We start from the raw sequence: 22,520 nt of genomic DNA on the forward strand, positions 1-22,520 counted from the left end.
TCTGATTGCTAGAATAGACTTTAAGACATTTTTCTGGTTTCCAAGCTTACCTACCCCCATAACCCTCAGATTTCTGCCTTTCTGAGCAAGCTTCAGCCTTGCAATCACCAACAGGGAAGCAATCTGCTGTTCATTCCTGAAGCCCCAGGGACCTTTCTTACTGCCACCCTTCTGGTTGGACTGTTTCTGGGCTGCCAAGTTGGCAAGGCGTCTGGTTTGAAGGCATGTGGGTTAGGACAGTCTTCTTAGCAGGATGGCCCAGGGGAGGCTTAGGGAGTAGAGTAGAAGGGAAGCCTCACTAGAAAATACAGCAAAAATGTCACTCCAGAAGATGTAATTAATCTGTAGCTAAGGAGGGAGGCAGGCTGGCCATCCCTGGAATGTATTGTTTCAGGTTTGCACCTAACCTAGATTCCTACACATTTAAGAGACACGCTATGGGAGAACCAGTGAGGTGATGCCAATACTGGAGAGCATTTAGAGTACAGTGAGTAAAGAACAAAAGCATTGAATATTTTTTTAAGCCCCTTATACTTTAGCTCTTTACAGGAGCTTGTCTTTGTTAATGTGTTATAGTTTATAAAGTATGAACTCAGGTTCTTATGAGGAAAGTAATATTATTACTGCCTTTTGCTAAGTGAGGAAAATTAGGCTTGGAGATCTGCAACTTTCCTAAGATCACACTTTTGTGTTCTGAAGCAGACCCAGGACATAATCACAGAACTTCTGACTCCAGGTTTCATGATCCTTCCACTACAGGATTCCTCTTCACAGTTAGAATTTAGTATCTAGACTGTGAGCTCCTAGTGGTGGATGTCATGTCCTGCCTTTTTTACCTCGGTCTCAGTTCTTAAGCTAGTGCCTGTCCAGTCAGGTTGACTCCCTTGAGCCCCAGCCACATTGGAGTATTTAAGAATCAGTTAAAACTGCTGGCCCAAGCTTCTGAGCATGCTAAATGGCACATCTCCCCACCCTTAAATTTTGGCCCACTGTTTGTTCCTCTTCAGATTCTTTTCTTTTCTTTTTTTTTTTGAGATAGAATCTTGCTCTGTCGCCCAGGCTGGAGTGCAGTGGCGCGATCTTGGCTCACTGCAAGCTCCACCTCCAGGTTCACGCCATTCTCCTACCTCAGCCTCCCGAGTAGCTGGGACTACAGGTGCCCGCCACCATGCCCGGCTAATTTTTTGTATTTTTAGTAGAGACGGAGTTTCACCGTGTTAGTCAGGATGGTCTTGATCTCCTGACCTCGTAATCCGCCCACCTTGGCCTCCCAAAGTGCTGGGATTACAGGCGTGAGCCACCACGCCCAGCCTGTTCCTCCAGATTCTTCTTAATCCTCAATTCTCTGTCTGCCTGTCCCATCTGAGCATGCTAAATTTTTTATCAACTTGTTTTGCTTGGAATGCCTCCTGCAGCAGTAACTGCACTGCTTGACTAGTGTTCAAAATAATCACTTATCCTGATAGTTCCTGCTCCCTTGTTGGAGGAAGAGTATACTGTCTTTGTTTATATCCAATATACACTTTCCTTCTATTAAGCCTCCATCTAAACCCTTTATGAAGCAGTATTTAGTACCGGTTACTTAACCTCTCGGAATTTCAGTCTATTCTTCTGTAAGTATTGATTGAATGAGTCAATTCATGTGATGCGCTTAGAATTTGGTGTGTAGTAAGCACACAATAAACCTTAGTTTTGTTTTTAGTATTTTTGCAATGTTGTAACTATTGGCTGTTGTCTGAAGTTTCTTTCAACCACATACTTCTATACCTTTTTGTTTTGTTCTCTATGTATTGACTGTTTTTACACGCAAATGTCACAAGTAAAAAATCTACTCATTCTTCATAGAACCACCAGTCATAAAATTGTATTCCAAACAATAGTATCAAACAGCTATTCGTTGACTATCTTATGCTAGGCATAGTGATAGGTGCTGCAGATTCAGGGGTTAAAGAGGACTACTCCTGTGGTCCCTATTCTTTGGTGCTCTTTTTCTCACTTCCAAATATCCTGTCCTATTGAGCCACTATTACTGCAGTGTTACGTTTTGCTTTACATTACTTAGTTGTTGACATATCTGCCCTGGAGGAAACTAGGTGGAGAATAATAGTATTTAGTAATCACTTCATCCCCATGGTCTAATATAACACATGACACATAAAGGGTACTTAATGTTAGTTGAATTAACAGATGAAGGAATGCATATGTGCCGAGGTGTGCTTGTTTTTTTTCTGTATAAGCCATTCTTGAATGGGAAAGTGCAAGGAAGGAAATATTTCTAAAGCCCCTTTTCTGCTGTTCTGACATTTATCGAAGGTGCACCATCTAGCACAAACCCCTTACTTTCCTCCTGAGAAAGCTATGCACATAAAAGCTTCCAATCTACTGCTAAAACATGTAGCATAAGACAAAATAGGTCACACAAAAGTGAGACATGGATTTGCAAGAGTTAATTCCATGCAGAGAATTACCAAAAGGAATATTTGAAGACCTGCAGAAATAAGGAGGAGTCATTGAATACATGGTTCTCGCCATAAGCAGGCCATGCTAAGCTGAGAGGGCATTTCAGAAGCTGGAGCTGGACAGAGAGAAATACAGATTGTGTCAGGAAAAATGCAGAACCTGGAGCTCAACTGCCTAGTAGATCTCTTTATTCAATCAATCTACGAGAGAGATAATTCTGGAAAATATGAGTCACCAGTAATTTCTTTAATAAAAATAGATAAAAGGAAACAAACACAAGTTTAAGCAACTTTAAGAGTATAGGCAAATGATAACACATCCCTCTCTACCCTTTTGTATGTTTGTTTGCTTATTTATCTGTACAGTTTTGGAAATAGCCTCTATTTTTGATATTATTGCAAAAATGTACATATCCATTGCAAAAAAGTTTTAAAATTTGTAAAACACAAAGGAAATAAAATTTATGCATAATTCTACCAACCAGAGGTCCATTACCAACATTTTTATACCCTTCTCACCTCTGTTAATAGATATATTTGCATTTGAATATACATGCATATGCTTTTGAAATGGAATATTATTAAATATCCTATTCTATAACCTTCCTTATTTAATAATAAATAATAAATATTTTAAAAACCAACAATTATAAATACACATAATTTTAATGGTTACTGAATTTTCCATTGTATGCAAGAGTTCACTAAATGTATTTATAGAGTGCTTTGAGAAACGACAGCAGAGAGTATATTTCAACTACATTTCTTAGCCAGTTTGCTAGTTAACACACTGCAGTTGGACATTGTTATACTTTATTAATTCAACTAAACATTGTGTGCTGGGAATTACCCTGAGCACAGAAAACTACAGATACAAAGATGTGATAGATAAAATGAGAATTGAAATTATAATTCAAGATCTTGCTAGGTAAACTGGACAAGTATAATATAATTCATAATAATACAATTCTAATACAATGTCTTAAGCTTGACATAAAAGGTCAGCCCCCAAATTCTTGGAGACTCAAAAGACTGGAGTAAGGACCTTGGGGAAGTGGAGAAAGCTGCACTGACAAGGTGATGCTTGAACCACCTCTTGACTTATAAGTATAGGTGGAATCCCCATTTGCATGTACATTAACATGCCTGTTTAGGAAGAATGCAGAAGCTGAAGTGTCCAGTGAGTGGCCTACACATGCTAAATAAGTATTTATTGAATGAATGTAGAATGAATAGATAAAATGATAAAATGGAATCTTCTAAAACATCAATACTACCCTGTAACATTTATATCAATTTATTGGGACCTCTAAACCCCAATAAAGCACTGTATCCCTTTGCCATGCCCACTCTGGAATCATGCAAAACCTATAAACTTTTGATAATAACACAATTTTTGAAGAATAGGCATTCAAATTGTTGGAGAATGATAATTATTGTAGCATCTTATTATTCAGTTATCACCTAAGTGTTACTTAAAATACTTCCAACACCCTGACAAAGGTGGAATTATGTGATATCCATTATATAGAGCAGAGGCTCTGTGATTGAGTGGTTAACTGACTCATACCTGAGTCGAGGTCTCTCTGACTCTTTAATTCATTACCACACTATGCTCCCTACTCTTTATAGAGAGCATTTTAGATTCATACCTTCTTTGATTTCTATAACTTCTGAGTTGGTCAGGACCTCTTTAGAGATTCCCATTTTAGTGATGAAGAAAAGAAGTCTCAAAAAAGCTACATTATTTATCTGAACTCCCAGGGATACTAATTAACAGATTCTAAATGTAAAAAAGTTTCTTCCATTGGCCCACACTGCAATTAACCACTCCTGACACAACGTTCTATATGGAAAAATTTCTGAAATGCTAGTTGTCAGAATAGAGCCCTCCAGTTTATCTCCAAGGTCCAGATGACCACCTTCACCAAAGTCCTTCCACACTAGCAGGTCTATGTGCTATAAAGTCAATAAAGAGGCTGGGCACGGTGGCTCATGCCTGTAATCCCAGCACTTTGGAAGTCTGAGATGGGTGATCACCTGAGGTCAGGAGTTTGAGACCAGCCTGGCCAAATGGTGAATCCCTGCCTCTACTAAAAAAAACACCCAAATTAGCTGGGCGTGGTGGTGGGTGCCTGTAATCCCAGCTGCTCAGGAGGCTGGGGAAGAAGAATCACTTGAACCTGGGAGGTGGAGGTTGCAGTGAGTGGAGATTGCACCACTGCACTCCAGCCTGGGCAACAGAGAAAGACCCCATCTCAAAAAACATAACAAACAGACAAACAAAGAAAACCCAAAAAACAAAGTCAATAAAGAGCCAAAGAAGTCCCTTCTGAAATTTTATCCTGGACACTCATCTTTCTCTGAAATAATAACATATCTTTATCTTCTTCAGAAGTGTATCCACACCTGGCTCTTTCCATGCTCTTCACTATGCCAAAATATTTATAATATAATCTATGGTGGGAAACAGTATAATGTGATTTAAATTGCTCAGAAGATCTGGGTTCAAAACATGGTATCATCTTTTAGTATCCATTTAAAGAAAAGTGAATTATTTTTTCTCTTTATCTTCAGTTTTCTCATTTATAAAAATGCACTGCAATAACTTACATAATTGTAGTGAGACAATTTCACTATTATATTAATATGAAATATATATATTATATGTATAGTATATACTATATTATATAGTATATATAATATACTATATAATATCTATTATAGTAATATAACTTATAACATAAAATATATTAATATATTAAATTATATTAACATTTATACAAATGGACTGCAATACTCTAATTGTAGTGATACAATTTTAGTTAATTGTGAGAATTAACTGAAATAATATTGATAATAACTTAAGCTTTTGAGGTTTTTGTTCACTGCTATAACCTATTGCCTAGTTTAGTGTCAGGAGCTCAATAAGTATTTTCTAAATAAATTAATGAGTGAATAGATTCATTGAATTAATAAATGTGAATGAATGATTGAATACAATATTTAAAGGGCTTAAATATTTCCTGGACACATATCATATTTCTTGACATTTTGCTAGGTCCTAGCAATAAAACTATGAACAAACTGGATGTGATCCATGCAGAACTAATGGTGAACACTGTTAAGAAAACAGGCAAGTAAGCAGAGTACAGCATGATGAGGATGCACAGGGTAGACAAGAGTACATAAGAGGGTAATTTAAGTGTATGAGGCAGACATTTCTTCCTGAGGCAGGTCACATCTATAGAAGTAACATATGAAAAATTTCTGTCACAAGACCTGGAACTTAGTATGTTCTTAAATAGTTCTTCATACTTTCTACACCCTTTCCCACCATCCAAGTTGAAGAGCATTTACAGACACCATCAGCTTTGCTTAATCGCTGTTGTAGTGTTAGGCTGATTTAATGACCCAGATGCCCTCGTCTTTAGTTTTTCCCAAATCTGATATTTGTGTAGAAACAGAATAAACAAGTCTTCAACCAATTCTTTCTTTTGGAGTCTTCAACCTCCTCAAACTTTTCAACCCCATCTCCACGCCAGAAAGTTTTTGTTTGTTTGTTTGTTTTACAAACCTGAGAACAGCTTAGAGTCCCTTGTCAAACCTTAAAATGAATAGAGGAGAAAAATAATTTTAACTATAAATTGAACTTCCCTATTTGTAACTTACCTATTAATCATAACTAAAAGCATGATTAAGCTGTAACTAAAAATTCCAGTAAAGACCTGCAACTGTACTAATGTATTACTGTCATTTCTTCAAAAAGAGATTATCCAGTTGTAAAGTCCAGAAAGGAAATTAGAGATTTAGAGCAACTCACTCTTTTTACAGATAGTACTACTGTATAAGAAACAAATGTTCATGACCTTAAAGCCATGAACAAATGACTGAATTAAAAAGAAACCATATGAAAAGGAATAACTTCTGAATAGCAAAAAAGTACCATTAAAACATTAAAAGATAATAACTAAAAAATATTTATAATGTTTATGACAAAAAGAACTAATTTTTAAAAATTGTGAACAACCTATACAATGCAATAATAAAACCAAAATCTAATATAAAATAGCAAAGGAAGTAGATAGAAATTTCACAAAAAGGAAATATAATTAATTTTGTTATTTTGTTTCTTTCTCCACTTTTTGTATTTTCTGAATATTTTTTAGGTGATAAGATAGGTTTTAGATAATTTTTCCCAATTGGATCATTTATGTTTTATTTTTATTTTTATTTTTTGATTTCCAGCTTTCATTTTAAGTTCAGGGTACATGTGCAGGATGTGCATGTTTGTTATTTTGTTATGTAGGTAAACGTGTGCCATGGTGGTTTGCTTCACAGATCAATCCATCAACCAGGTATTAAGCAAGCCCAGTACCCATTAGCTATTCATCCTGATGCTCTCCCTCCACCCCACTGCACTCAACAGAGAAACATAGGGCTTACACCACATTTTAGATCAAGTGGACCCAACAGATATATACAGAACATTCTAACAGCAACAGAAAATGTGCATTATTGTCGAACACACATGGATTATCATAAGGATAGATCATATGTTTAGACACAAAACAAGTCTTAACAAATTTAAGAAGATTGAAATAATCAAGTATCTTTTCTGACCAAAATGGTATGCAACTAGAAATCAACAATAGAAAGAATTTCAAAAAATTCAAAAATACATGGAAACTTAAAAATATGTTTCTGAACAACAAATGGGTCAATGAAAACATTAAAAAGGAAATTTAAAACTTTTAGAGAAGAGAAAATGGAAACACAAACTACTAAAACTTATGGGATGTAGCAAAAGCAGTTTTTTTACTTGCTATTTTTTTTTAAAAAATTTATTATTATTATACTTTAAGGTTAAGAGTATATGTGCACAATGTGCAGGTTTGTTACATATGTATACATGTGCCATGTTGGTGTGCTGCACCCATTAACTCGTCATTTAGCATTAGGCATATCTCCTAATGCTATCCCTCCCCCTTCCCCCTCCCCCCACCCCACAACAGTCCCTGGAGTGTGATGTTCCCCTTCCTGTGTCCATGTGTTCTCATTGTTCAATGCCCACCTATGAGTGAGAATATGCGGTGTTTGGTTTTTTGTCCTTGTGATAGTTTGCTGAGAATGATGGTTTCCAGTTTCATCCATGTCCCTACAAAGGACATGAACTCATCTTTTTTGATGGCTGCATAGTATTCCATGGTGTACATGTGCCACATTTTCTTAATCCAGTCTATCGTTGTTGGACATTCGGGTTGGTTCCAAGTCTTTGCTATTGTGAATAGTGCCACAATAAACATACGTGTGCATGTGTCTTTATAGCACCATGGTTTATAATCCTTTGGGTATATACCCAGTAATGGGATGGCTGGGTCAAATGGTATTTCTAGTTCTAGATCCCTGAGGAATCGCCACACTGACTTCTACAATGGTTGAACTAGTTTACAGTCCCACCAACAGTGTAGAAGTGTTCCTATTTCTCCACATCCTCTCCAGCACTTGTTGTTTCCTGACTTTCTAATGATCACCATTCTAACTGGTGTGAGCTGAATTCCACCAGAGGTACAAGGATGAGCTGGTACCGTTCCTTCTGAAACTATTCCAATCAATAGAAAAAGAGGGAGTCCTCCCTAACTCATTTTATGAGGCCAGCATCATCCTGATACCAAAGCCTGGCAGAGACACAACCAAAAAAGAGAATTTTAGACCAATATCCTTAGTGAACATTGATGTAAAAATCCTCAATAAAATACTAGCAAACCGAATCCAGCAGCACATCAAAAAGCTTATCCACCATGATCAAGTGGGCCTCATCCCTGGGATGCAAGGCTGGTTCAACATATGCAAATCAATAAATATAATCCAGTATATAAACAGAACCAAAGACAAAAACCACATGATTCTCTCAATAGATGCAGAAAAGGCCTTTGACAAAATTCAACAACGCTTCATGCTAAAAACTCTCAATAAATTAGGTATTGATGGGATGTATCTCAAAATAATGAGCTATCTATGACAAACCCACAGCCAATATCATACTGAATGGGCAAAACCTGGAAGCATTCCCTTTGAAAACTGGCACAAGACTAGGATGCCCTCTCTCACCACTCCTATTCAACATAGTGTTGGAAGTTCTGGCCAGGGCAATTAGGCAGGAGAAGGAAATAAAGGGTATTCAATTAGGAAAAGAGGAAGTCAAATTGTTCCTGTTTGCAGATGACATGATTGTATATCTAGAAAACCCCATTGTCTCAGCCCAAAATCTCCTTAAGCTGATAAGCAACTTCAGCAAAGTCTCAGGATTCAAAATCAATGTGCAAAAATCACAAGCATTCTTATACACCAATAACAGACAAACAGAGAGCCAAATCATGAGTGAACTCCCATTCACAATTGCTTCAAAGAGAATAAAATACCTAGGAATCCAACTTACAAGGGACGTGAAGGACCTCTTCAAGGAGAACTACAAATCACTGCTCAATGAAATAAAAGAGGATACAAACAAATGGAAGAACATTCCATGCTCATGGGTAGGAAGAATCAATATCTTGAAAATGTCCATACTGCCCAAGGTAATTTATAGATTCAATGCCAACCCCATCAAGCTACCAATGACTTTCTTCAGAGAATTGGAAAAAACTACTTTAAAGTTCATATGGAACCAAAAAAGAGCCCGCATCACCAAGTCAATCATAAGCCAAAAAAACAAAGCCGGAGGCATCACGCCACCTGACTTCAAACTATACTACAAGGCTACAGTAACCAAAACAGCATGGTACTGGTACCAAAACAGAGAGATAGATCAATGGAACAGAACAAAGCCCTCGGAAATAATACCACACATCTACAATCATCTGATCTTTGACAAGCCTGACAAAAACAAGCAATGGGGAAAGGATTCCCTATTTAATAAATGGTGCTGGGAAAACTGGCTAGCCATATGTAGAAAGCTGAAACTGGACCCCTTCCTTACACCTTATACAAAAATCAATTCAAGATGGATTAAAGACTTAAATATTAGACCTAAAACCATAAAAACCCTAGAAGAAAACCTAGGCAATACCATTCAGGACATAGGCATGGACAAGGACTTAATGTGGAAAACACCAAAAGCAATGGCAACAAAAGCCAAAATTGACAAATGGGATCTAATTAAACTAAAGAACTTCTGCACAGCAAAGGAAACTACCATCCGAGTGAACAGGCAACCTACAAAATGGGAGAAAATTTTCACAACCTACTCATCTGACAAAGGGCTAATATCCAGAATCTACAATGAACTCAAAGAAATTTACAAGAAAGAGCAGTTTTAAGAAGGATGTTTACAACAATAAATGCCTACATTAACAAAAAAAATTCCAAATACATAATCCAATGCTGTACTTCAAAAAACTGAAAATAAAGGTCAAACTATGCCTAAAGTTAACAGAAGGAAGGAAATAATAAAGATCAGAGAAGAAGTAAATGAAAATAGCACAAAAGATCAATGAAGCTAAGAATTGGTTTTTAACAAGGTAAACAAAATTGACATACCTTTATTGAGAATAAGAAAAAAAAAGACGCAAATAAATACAATCAGAAATGAAAGAGGAGACATTACAACAGATACCATAGAAATACAAAAATCATAAGAGACTACTAAGAACAACGAATTGGGTAGACTAGAAGAAAATAGATAAATTCCAAGAAACACACAATGTCCAAAACTGAATCATGAAAAAATAGAAAATCTTAATAGACCAAAAATGAGTACAGAAGAGTGAATTAGTAATAAAAATTCTTCCATCAAAGAAAAGCTTAGGACCTGATGACTTCAGAGATAAGTTCTACCAACATTTAAAGAACTAATACAAATCCATCACAAACTCTTCCAAAACATTTAAGTGGCGAGAATACTTTCAAACTCATTTCAGAAGGCCAGCTTTACCTTGATACCAAAGCCAGACTAGGAGAGTATGACAAAACAAAATTACAGGCCAATATTCCTAATGAACATAGATGCAAAAATCTTCAAAGAATACTAAAACACTGAATTTGACAGTGAATTCAACAGAAGGCTGGTTCACTATCATCAAGAGGGATTATCCCAAAGATGCAAGGATAGTTAATATACAAATTTCACAGTTATATTTGAGAAAAATCACATGATCATAGGACATTTTAATAGATGTATTAATAGAAAAAAGTATTCAACAAATTTAACATCCTTTTGTGATAATAGTTATTTGTTAACGTTTTGTTATTTGTTATTTTACTTTTTATTTGTTATTTGTTATTTGTTGTTTGTTATACTTGCTTTTGACTTTCTGTTATTTGTAATTTGTTATTTGTCATTTGTTAATTCAAATAACAAAAAGTCAAAAGCAAGTATATGTGAATTTTATTGGCCCTAGTTTAGAAAATAACCCTGTATTAATAAAAACAAAGTAAGTAAATTGATATATACAATTAATTACTATTAAAAATATTAATTTCTCTAAAGCAATGGGGTCAGAGGATATAAATATATAATTCCATAAAAAAGAAAAGAAGAAATAAAGGAAATACAATGTCACTAAAAGACAAAATCACATTTTCAACCTAATAATCTCAAAATTATTATGTAGCTTCATTATAATTTTTTATGTATCAAAAATATTTTTTAGAAAAGATAAATAATACTTTTAAAAAAGATGTTTATGAGACGGTTGTGAAACAAGCTGTCTTAAATACTGCCTGGGGAAAGATATAATTTGTCTGAACTTACTGAAAACAATCTGTCAATTAGTATGACAATTAGTATGTCAAACGGATACTGTTAAAGTCTCAGTAAAGGTATTAGTCATTTTTAGAAATATGTTCTAGGAAAATAAGAGATGAAACTTATTTTAAATTTTTGGTGATTTCCTGAGACATGACGATGAGGCAATTCTGGTGACCACACTTTTAGGAATCACTGCTTTAGAGAAACTTTGTATTTCTACCTAAAGACACGTACAAGCTTCTTTACTACAATATTGTTTCTTGCAGATGTAAAAATTGTAATTAAAAATAAAATACCAACCATAAAAAGATGGGTACTAGGTTGGAGTATAATTATAAAATATAACTCAGCTGTTAAGAAGAATGGAGTAGGTCCTGAAACAACGTTGCGGGATCTTGAAAGTGCACTGTGAAATAAGCAAGTTTCAGAGGGCTACATAGAGTATGCTATTTATTTGGCTTTAAAAAGCTTAAGATACTGTATATGATTTACAGGTACACAGCAGCAAATGTAAAATAAAATGACTGAAAGATAAGAATAAAATTCATGGCAATTTTGCCCCAGAGAAGGATTTCACATTAAGACTGGAAATGGAGGCAAAGGTACTTAAACTTTATCTATAAATACTTCCTATTATAAAATAAGATTTGAAGCAAATATATAAAATGAGCATTTTCAAGACTTGGTGGTGGGAATAGGAGATTAATTTATCATTTCAAGTAATATTTAGCATCCATCTACTACAAGAAGGCAGTTTTCTAGGTTCTGGGGATACATAAATAAATACAATTCAGTTTAGATTCTAGCAGAGAGAGACAGTCAATAAACGAGTGTAGTAACTAAACATCAGATGAGGATTAGGTACTACGGAGATAAAAGCAGAATAACAGAAACAGAAAATTTAGAAAGAAGAGGATAGGAAAAGAGTTAATGTATTATTTAGGAGAATTAGGCAGTGACAGGGATATTTGAGAAAGGGGGAGAGAGCACAGGATCACTATGTAGAGGAATAACACTTGCTAAGGGTTTGAGATTTGTAGGTCTGAGGAAGAGCAAGGAGCCTTATATAATTTGGGTGGACCTATAGAGGGAGAGAGGAGAAGGAGATGAGGTCAGTAAAGTAATAAGTCATCAAGTTATTTTTATAATTTTAATCAAACTGTAGCACATATGGATATAAGTGAACAAATTTTAAGTGTTTGGATAGATGAGTTTTCCAAAAAAGGACATGGCTATAGGGACAAGATGGCCAACTAGACATAGCAAGTAAGTGCCACTCCCACTGAGATAGACCAAAATATCAAGTTAACCAACATACTTTGAGCAGACCTCAAAGAGAAAACACCAAGAGTGGATAAAGAGGTACAGACTCTGAGGCTGAAGAGCGAGGAAGTTGGGAACACTGCGTAGGATACCAGAATGGCTCCTAAGGAAGTGGTGAGGAAAGGGACTGACAGACTAATTTTATCATGACCCTCTAGGATCCTAGCTTTAAGGAGACCCTATGTCTCCCATGGACCCATGGACATTTGAGCTGGCAGTGGAATTAATGGCTAAATTAACTGGGGAGTAGTCAGAATCAGGGTTTCAGCTGCCCTGGAGTCCAGGGGCTTTTTAAATTTTTTTGGTGTGGAGCATCTCTGATGGAGCATAGCCATAAGTGTCCATACCCCAGGACTCTTCATGTCTTTCTGAGACACTCTAGCCCGAACTGACTGCCAGTTTGGAGATTTCTCAAAGAACTTTAAACAGAGCTACCATTCAACCTAGCAATCCCATTACTAGGTATATACCCAAAGAAAACAAATTGTTCTACCAAAAAGACACTTGTATGTTTATTGCAGCACTATTCACAGTAGCAAAAACATGGAACCAACCACCTAGGTGCCTATCAGTGGTGGACTGGATAAAGAAATGTGGTATATACTACATAGCCATAAAAAGGAATAAAACCATGTCCTTTGCAGCAACATGGATGTAACTGGAGGCCATAATCCGAAACAAACTAATGTAAAAACAGAAAACCAAGCACTGTATGTTATCACTTTTACATGGGAGCTAAACATTGAGTACACATGGACATAAAGATGAGAACAATAGACACTACAGGCCTACTGGGGGGAAGTAGAAGAGTGGAGCATAGATTGAAAAACTACCTATTGGGTACTATACTCACTACCTGGGTGACGAGATCTGTACCACAAACCTCAGCATTATACCGTATTCCCATGTAACAAACCTGCATATATATGTGTGTACATATATGTATATATGTGTATATATTGTATATATTTGTGTATATATATATATCTGTGTGTGTGTGTGTATATATATATATATATATATTTGCCCTGTATCTAAAATAAAAGTTGAAATCATTTTTTTTTAATGAAAACTCATTAGTGTACCACTGGTAAAAGAGAGAGGGGAAAGAGGAGAGGGGGATGGTGTGGTGGTTAATACCAAGTGTCAACTTGATTGGATTGAAGGATGCAATATGGATCCTGGGTGTGTCTGTGAGGGTGTTGCCAAAGGAGATTAACATTTGAGCCAGTGGACTGGGGAAGGCAGACCCACCCTTTTCAGGTGGGCACCATCTAATCAGCTGCCAGTGACTATAAAGCAGGCATAAAAACGTGAAGCTACAAGACAATGGGCCTAGCCTCCCAGCCTACCTCTTTCTCCTATGCTGGATGCTTCCTGAGCTCTAAGATTGCACTCCAAGTTCTTCTGTTTTGAGACTCTGACTGCCTCTCCTTATTCATCAGCTTGCAGACAGCCTATTGTAGGACCTTATGATTGCGTAAGTTAGTACTTAATAAATTCTTTCTTTTTTTCTTTTCTTTGCTTTCTTTTCTTTCCTTTGTTTTTCTCTTTCTTTCTTTTCTTTCTTTCTTTCTTTCTCTTTCTTTCTTTCTTTCTTTCTTTCTTTTTTTCTTTCTTTTTTCCTTTCCTCCTTTCCTTCCTTCCACCCTCCCTCCCTTCCTTCCACCCACCCTCCCTCCCTCCCTCCCATTCATCCATCCATCCATCCATCCATCCATCCATCCATCCATCCATCCATCCATCCTATTAGTTCTGTCCTTCTAAAAGAACCCTGACTAATACAGATGGGGAGGGAGAAAGGGAAAAAAAGAGAAAGTGAGATTGAGAACAGTGCAACACCCAAAATCTCCTTCTATGCCTCTTACCCGTCATTTATTACTATCCTTAGAACAGGTAACCACTATCCAAACACCATCAATTCATTTCGGCAGTTTCTGATGTGGTAGCTCTAGTTCATTCATTTTCATGATGCATAGTAATCAAAGACACACACACACACACACACACACACACACACACACACACACAGTTTCTTCATTCTGCTTTTGCAGTTTTTATGTTCATTGTTCATTTGAGGAGGAGAACCTTTTCTAGTTTTTTACCACCATCAATAGTGCTGTGATAAACATGATTTTTGTGAACAAAAGGGGCACATTTCTGTTGGGACTATACCTGGGATTTACATTGCTGCAGCATACTGTTTACATGTTTCAGTCCCACTTACTACTTCTTTTTTTTTTTTAATTATACTTTAAGTTTTAGGGTACATGGGCACAATGTGCAGGTTAGTTACATATGTATACATGTGCCATGTTGGTGCGCTGCACCCATTAACTCGTCATTTAACATCAGGTATATCTCCTAATGCTATCCCTCCCCACTCCCCCCACCCCACAACAGGCCCCAAAGTGTGATGTTCCCTTTCCTGTGTCCATGTGTTCTCATTGTTCAATTCCCACCTGTGAATGAGAACATGCAGTGTTTTGGTTTTTTTGTCCGTGCGATAGTTTGCTGAGAATGATGGTTTCCAGCTTCATCCATGTCCCTACAAAGGACATGAACTCATCATTTCTGATGGCTGCATAGTATTCCATGGTGTATATGTGCCACATTTTCTTAATCCAGTCTATCGTTGTTGGACATTCGGGTTGGTTCCAAGTCTTTGCTATTGTGAATAGTGCCACAATACACACACGTGTGCATGTATTTTTATAGCAGCATGATTTATAATCCTTTGGGTACATACCCAGTAATGGGATGGCTGGGTCAAATGGTATTTCTAGTTCTAGACCCCTGAGGAATCACTGCACTGACTTCCACAATGGTTGAACTAGTTTACAGTCCCATCAACAGTGTAAAAGTGTTCCTATTTTTCCACATCCTCTCCAGCACCTGTTGTTTCCTGACTTTTTAATGATTGCCATTCTAACTGGTATGAGATGATAACTCATTGTGGTTTTGATTTGCATTTCTCTGATGGCCAGTGATGATGAGCGTTTTTTCATGTGTCTTTTGGCTGCATAAATGTCTTCTTTTGAGAAGTATCTGTTCATATCCTTCGCCCACTTGTTGATGGGTTTGTTTGTTTTTTTCTTGTAAACTTGTTTGAATTCATTGTAGATTCTGGATATTAGCCCTTTGTCAGATGAGTAGATTGCAAAAATTTTCTCCCATTCTGTAGGTTGCCTGTTCACTCTGATGGTAGTTTCTTTTGCTGTGCAGAAGCTCTTTAGTCTAATTAGATCCATTTGTCAATTTTGGCTTTTGTTGCCATTGCTTTTGGTGTTTTAAACATGAAGTCCTTGCCCATGCCTACGTCCTGAATAATGCTGCATATCTACAACCATCTGATCTTTGACAAGCGTGACAAAAACAAGAAATGGGGAAAGGATTCCCTATTTAATAAATGGTGCTGGGAAAACTGGCTAGCCATATGTAGAAAGCTGAAACTGGATCCCTTCCTTACACCTTATACAAAAATTAATTCAAGATGGATTAAAGACTTAAATGTTAGACCTAAAACCATAAAAACCCTAGAAGAAAACCTAGGCAATACCACCCACTTACTACTTCTACCAGCAGAATATGAGACTCCCAATAGCTTTACATTTTGACTTACACTGGAATTATTAATATTATTAATTTAAGCCATGCTGGTGGTTATATAGTGGTATCTCATTGTGATTTTAATTTGCTTCCTTCTGATGGATGAAATTGAGCACTATTTTACATTTATTGATAATTATGATATCTTCTCTTAAAAAGTAGATAGCCAAATCATTTCCTTTTTTTCCCTTATTTGGTTTGTAGCTATTCTTTGTGTATCTTAAATGTGTTATTTGTCAGATACATGTGTAAGCACTATAGTCTCCTGTCCTTCTACTTGTCCTTTTTACTCTCATAGGAATAATTTGTTGACCAGATAACTTTAAATTTAATGCATTACAATATATTGTTCATTTTCTTTATTAGTAGTACATTTTGTGACCCTTTAATAGATTGTTGCTTAACTCAAGACAATACTAATATTCTCCTATATCATCATCAAGAAGCTTTGTTGTTTTATATTTCACTTTGAAATTTAAAATCCACTTGGAATTGTAGTAAAGTAGGAATCAAAGTCTGTTTTCTCTCATATAGTTATATAGTTGGACCCATATAATTCACTTAAAATGTCCTCTTTTCTTTTAATCATTTGCAGTTTATCTTTATCAAATATCAAGTGACTGTCCCAGTGAATCTTTTTCTGGACTTTTTAGTAAGTGCTAGGGATCTATTTAGCTTTTCTTGCACCAATGTCACACTGTCATAATTAAAGTGTCTTTTTAGTAAGTTTAGCAAGTAAAGTGTCTTTTTAGTAAGTTTAGATATCAACAAGAGTTAAAATTTTTTCTTCACATATGTCCTGGCTGTTCTTTGGGCTTTATATTCTCATATAAATTTTGGAATAATTTTGACATTTTCTATAAGAAAAGCAGCTGGGATGCTTTCCTGGGGATTATTTCAAATCTAGAGAACATTTGTAAATTGATAAATTTACAATTCTAAGTGTTTCTATCTATACACAGGACACATTCATTGAAATACTCAATCTTAGTTATCTCAATCATATGTTGTAGTTTTGTGTGTATGGAGCTTTGATTTATTCTTTAAGTATATGTTGCCTTTTTACACTAATGTAAGTGTATTATTAAAAATAGTTTGCTCTATAGTCTTAAGTTGTGTGTCCCCCTAAAATTAGTATGTTGAAACGTAATCACCAATGCAATAGTATTAAGAGTAGGGTCCTTTGGGGAGTGATTAAATCATTAGGTCTCTGTCTTCATGAAAGGGATTAGCGCCTTTATTTTTTTATTTTTTTATTTTTTTTGAGACGGAGTCTCGCTCTGTGCCCCAGGCTGGAGTGCAGTGGCGTGATCTTGGCTCACTGCAAGCTCCACCTCTTGGGTTCACACCATTCTCCTGCCTCAGCCTCCCTAGTGCCTTTATTTTTTTTTTTTTAAAATATATATCCTTGTAAATGAAAGCAATCTTGCTCCTTCACCATGTGATGACTAAGGAACAGGCCCTCACCAGACACCAAGTTTGCTAGTGACTTCTCCTTAGACTTCCCAGTCCCCAGAACTGTGAGAAATAAATTTCTAATTTTTTAAATAAATTACCCAGTCTCAGGTATTTAGTTATAGCAGCCTGAATAGATGATGACAGTTTGTTTTTCTCTTTGCTGTCAACATATTATTTTAATATTGATCTTATATCCACTGATATTGGTAAATTCAGTTATTGTAATTGTTTATATGTGTACTTTTTTGTAGTTTTCTAAATAATCATTTTTCTATGAATAATGATGTCTACACCACTTCTCATACAATTTTTATATTTCTTTTTATTTAATGCGCTGGCAAAGACTTTATGTAGAATGCAACCTATAAGCATTCAAAATGGGTCTCCTTCACAGGGGAAAAGTTTTTACTGTATCACCATTAATTGTGTTCTTCAATTTGATTAGACAGTCTTCATCAGATTGGAGACATTTCCTTCTCATTCTAGTTTGTTAAGAGGTTTTGGGTTTCTTTTCTTAAAATGAATGCAGTTGTTAACTATTTTATCAAAATACCTTTCTGCTTCTATTGACTTGAATGTTTTTCTCTTTTTTCTATTATTGTGATAAATGACATAGTTTACTTTTTAAAGTACAGATTATTGGGAGGCCAAGGTGGGCAAATCACCTGAGGTCGGGAGTTCGAGACCAGCCTGACCAACATGGAGAAACCCCATCTCTACTAAAAATACAAAAATTAGCCAGGAATGGTGGCACGTGCCTGTAATCCCAGCTACTCAGGAGGCTGAGGCAGGAGAATCACTTGAACCAAGGAGGCGAAGGTTGCGGTGAGCCAAGATTGTGCCATTGCACTCCAGCCTGGGCAACAAGAGCGAAACTCCTTCTCAAAAATAAATAAATAAATAAATAAATAAATAAATAAATATTGCTTACATAAAAAAAAATTTACGTTTTAAAGGTATGTAATTTGCTGAATTTTTAAAAACATTCACAGCCATGTAATCATCACTATAAACAAGATTATTTTTATTACTGCTGGAAGTTCCCTCACTTCCCTTTGTAGTGAGTACCCTCCATCACCCCACTAACGTTTAGGAATGGCTGCTTCTTTCATTATAGTTTGTCTTTTCCAGAATGCCATATAATTGAATCGTATAATAATTATACATTAATCCATTCAAACCTGGCTTTTCCACATAATATATTTTCAAGATCCATTTATGTTATGTCATGTATCAGCAATTCCTTATTATGTAGAAAAATTGTTTTTTACTGGTTGATGAGTATGGGGTTGTTGTTTTCTGACTATTATGAATAAAATTGCTATAAACATTGAGGTACAGGTCTTTGTGTGGACACAAATTTTTATTACTCTTGGATAAAACAAGATTGGGATTGCTGGGCCATATGCTAAGTATTTGATTAAACTGGTTAAACTACTAACCTGTTTTCAAAACTGGCTGCGTGACTTTCCATTCCAACCAGAAGTATATGAGATCTTTACAACTAGACAATCTATTCTGTTCCATTGAAATCTGTATCTATGCTATGCCCATGCCACACTGCTTTAATTGCTCTTTTCAAATGATGCCATGAAGTCATATAAGTTCTCCAAATTTATTCGTATTTTGAAATTATTTTGACAATTTGAGGTCCTTCGTTTTCCCACATAGTTTTTAAATTGCCATTTTCTAAAAAGTCTAATGTAGTTTTGATTAAAATTATGTTGTATCTATAGATAGATTTTGTGGGAATTGATATATCACCTATATTGGGACTTTTAATTTGTGAACACGGTGCATCGTTCATCATCACTATAAACAAACAAACAAAACAAAAATTTTTATTTTTGATTTCTCCCTTCAATGTCTTATAGTTTACAGCACAAAAATTTTGTACATGTTTCTGTACATATTTTGTTAGATTTATCCATAAGGATTTTATGCATTTTAATACTATTTTGCAAATCATATTTTTATTATCCAAGTAATTTTTGTATGTTGACTTTGTATTCTTTTTTTTTTTTTTTTTTTTTAAGATGGAGTCTCACCCTGTTGCCCAGGTGGAACTGCAGTAATGTAATCTTGGCTAACTGAAATCTCTGCCTCTTGGGTTCAAGCAATTCTTCTGCCTCAGCCTCTCAAGTAGCTGGGATTACAGGCACCCACCACCATGCCTGGCTAATTTTTGTGTTTTTAGTAGAGACAGGATTTCAGCATGTTGGCCGGGCTGGTCTCGAGCTCCTGACCTCAAGTGATCTGCCCACCTTGGCCTCCCAATGTGTTGGGATCACAGGTGTGAGCCACCGCTCCCAGCCAAATTTTTAATTAATATTTATAATTTTTGTGGTTCTTTGGAATTTCTGGTATGTTGTATCGTGTCATCTGGTAAAAAAAGAGAAATTTTATGACTTCCTTTCCAATCGTATGTCTTTACTCTCTGTGTTGTACTGGCTATAATACCTGGCACAATCTTGAATATGAGTGGTGAGATAAGAAATCATTGTCTTGTCCCTGATATTAGGGGCAAAACATTCCATCTTTGAAAATTAATTATGATGTTAGTTATAGGATTTTTGTAGATTCAATTGATCATTTTTTGGAAGTTTTCTTCTATTCATTGTTTTTTAAAAGTTTTTCTTTCCTTATTGTGGTTATCATAAATGGTTAACATCCATTATCATAAATGGATGCTAATTTTTGTGAAATATTTAATTCTGCACTGAGATAATCATATGATTTGTCCTTTTCAGTCAATGAGTGTGGTGAATTATAATGTTTAATTTTTAAATTGTTTTCAAACCGTATATTCCTGGGATAAATTCCACTTTATGATGAGGTATTATACTTTTTGTATGTTGCTGTATCTGATATGTTTATATTCGTTAGAAATTTTTGCATCCCTGTGATCTAAATATGACCATATGCTTTATAGGCTCAATATTTTAAAATAAGATAATGATAGAATCCTGGGCTAAATTTTGGCTCAGAATCTGGTATATGATTCATTATAAGCCATCACTTCACTTTAACAATATTAATAAAATACATGTATTATCAATTTACAGTTTAAAATTTTTTCATAAGCATTATTTTATAATATCGTTACAATAATCCTGCAGAAAATTAGAATTTTCTTCATTTTTTAGGTAAAGCAACTGAAATGGGGGAAGATAAAATGCCTTGCCCAATTTCTCACAATTTATTAAGTTCATTATTAGCACTTAGAGGTCTGCACTTTAATATAGCTATTATCCTGAAATATAAAATTTCCACCTCCAGATCAATTTTCTGATACCTCCTTGCAAACAGCTTGACTTTTAAGCTCCACTAGATATTGTGATGTAGATGGTTATTTTTGTGCTCCTACTCACCCTGTTCTGTACCCTCCTTTTTGTCACTTCTTATCTCCGGTCCTGCAACCCTAGCTGTTTAGGGTCCACATAATCTGCATACCAAGTCCTCCACACATACCCCAACACATCTCAATCATCACAACTGTTAGGCTTTCATTCACAGCATCATGAAGAAATATATTTTATTGAATCTGAGATACCATTAATTATTAGATGTACTGATTATAAATCAAACCATTAATTTATGTACTGTTAAGAGAGAAAAATGTTATTGCAAATGACACTGAAATATCTTCTTACCACATTCATTGTAATTCCACTAGTAGAAAATTCAAAATATGAAAAGGCTGTTTCAATTATCTATTACTGTATAACAACCCACCCACAACTGAATGTCTTAATACAAAAATAGATATATATCTTTCATGGTTCTGTAGGTTGACGTGGCTAAACCGAGCCATTCTTTCTTGAGTTTTCTTAAGCATGTTTTTTCATTGATAGAAGTGGTAGCAGGAATTGGAGGACACCAGGATAGGCATCCCATAGATGGCAAATGATGCTACCACTGAAGGGGAGCTTAGCTGAAGCTGTTGAAGAGATTGCTACACAAGATATTGCTATATGTATAGGCTTCATACAACATGAAAACTGAGTTCAGAGAGGGAGCTTCCAAAGCATGTTGTAAGAAAGAGGAAGTAGAAGTTGTCAGTATAATGAAGGGCTGGACCTGTAACCAGCACAGCATTATTTCGTTTAACATCTATTAAGCAAAGAAGTTACAGGGTCTCCTGATTCAAGTGAATAGAGAAACAGACTGCATTTTGATGGAAGTTTGGCAAGTGCAAATATGTTAAGAATAGAAATGTGCCTCTGTGAGTTCACAAAAAATTGAAGTATACATATTAACGTTGTTACTTGTGATTGCCTCTGGTTCTAGAGTATTGAAAGAGCTAAAATTCTTTGTAGGATTAAAATTTAAAGGTTGGAATTGAAACAGATTGTTACTTTTTACAGTTTTCTCCATATTTTGAGTACATTTTAAAGGGTATTAAAGAAATATTTTTTGAATCAAAATTGACTAACTGCCCTCTCCCAATTTTCCCAAGGCTCCTTAAAGGATAACAAAAGGGAATAACTACTATTGTCATAATTTATCTGGACATTCCTCAATTCTTTCTGTTTTTCTAAAAAAATTTTCTTTAGAACACCACTGCTATATTTTCTTCTTCACTCCTACACAGGAAAAAACTCCTGTAATAAGAGATTGCTTCTCTAAATTATAGTCCTCAAATTTTTGGTAAAGGAATAATTCTTGCAAAGATAAAGGAAGGCAATGGGACAAGTTAGGTTTAAACACTTTTTAATCTTTTGTATTATATGTGATGATGAGAAGAGACAGGAACTGTGGGATACTGGTTGTAATATTTTGCTATTTCAACGTTAACTCTTAAGCAGTGAAATCTCTCCTTACAAAGCAAGGTCATGCGTCAGTAACAGTTCCTAAGATCTCCCCAACAAGTGGCTTCCACTTCTTTCTGTATTATATTTTCACGTAAGAATACCTTGATC

The sequence above is a fragment of the Homo sapiens genome, chromosome 11 (genome assembly GCF_000001405.40).
Source record: "Homo sapiens chromosome 11, GRCh38.p14 Primary Assembly".
In the NCBI taxonomy this organism is placed as follows: Eukaryota; Metazoa; Chordata; class Mammalia; order Primates; family Hominidae; genus Homo; species Homo sapiens.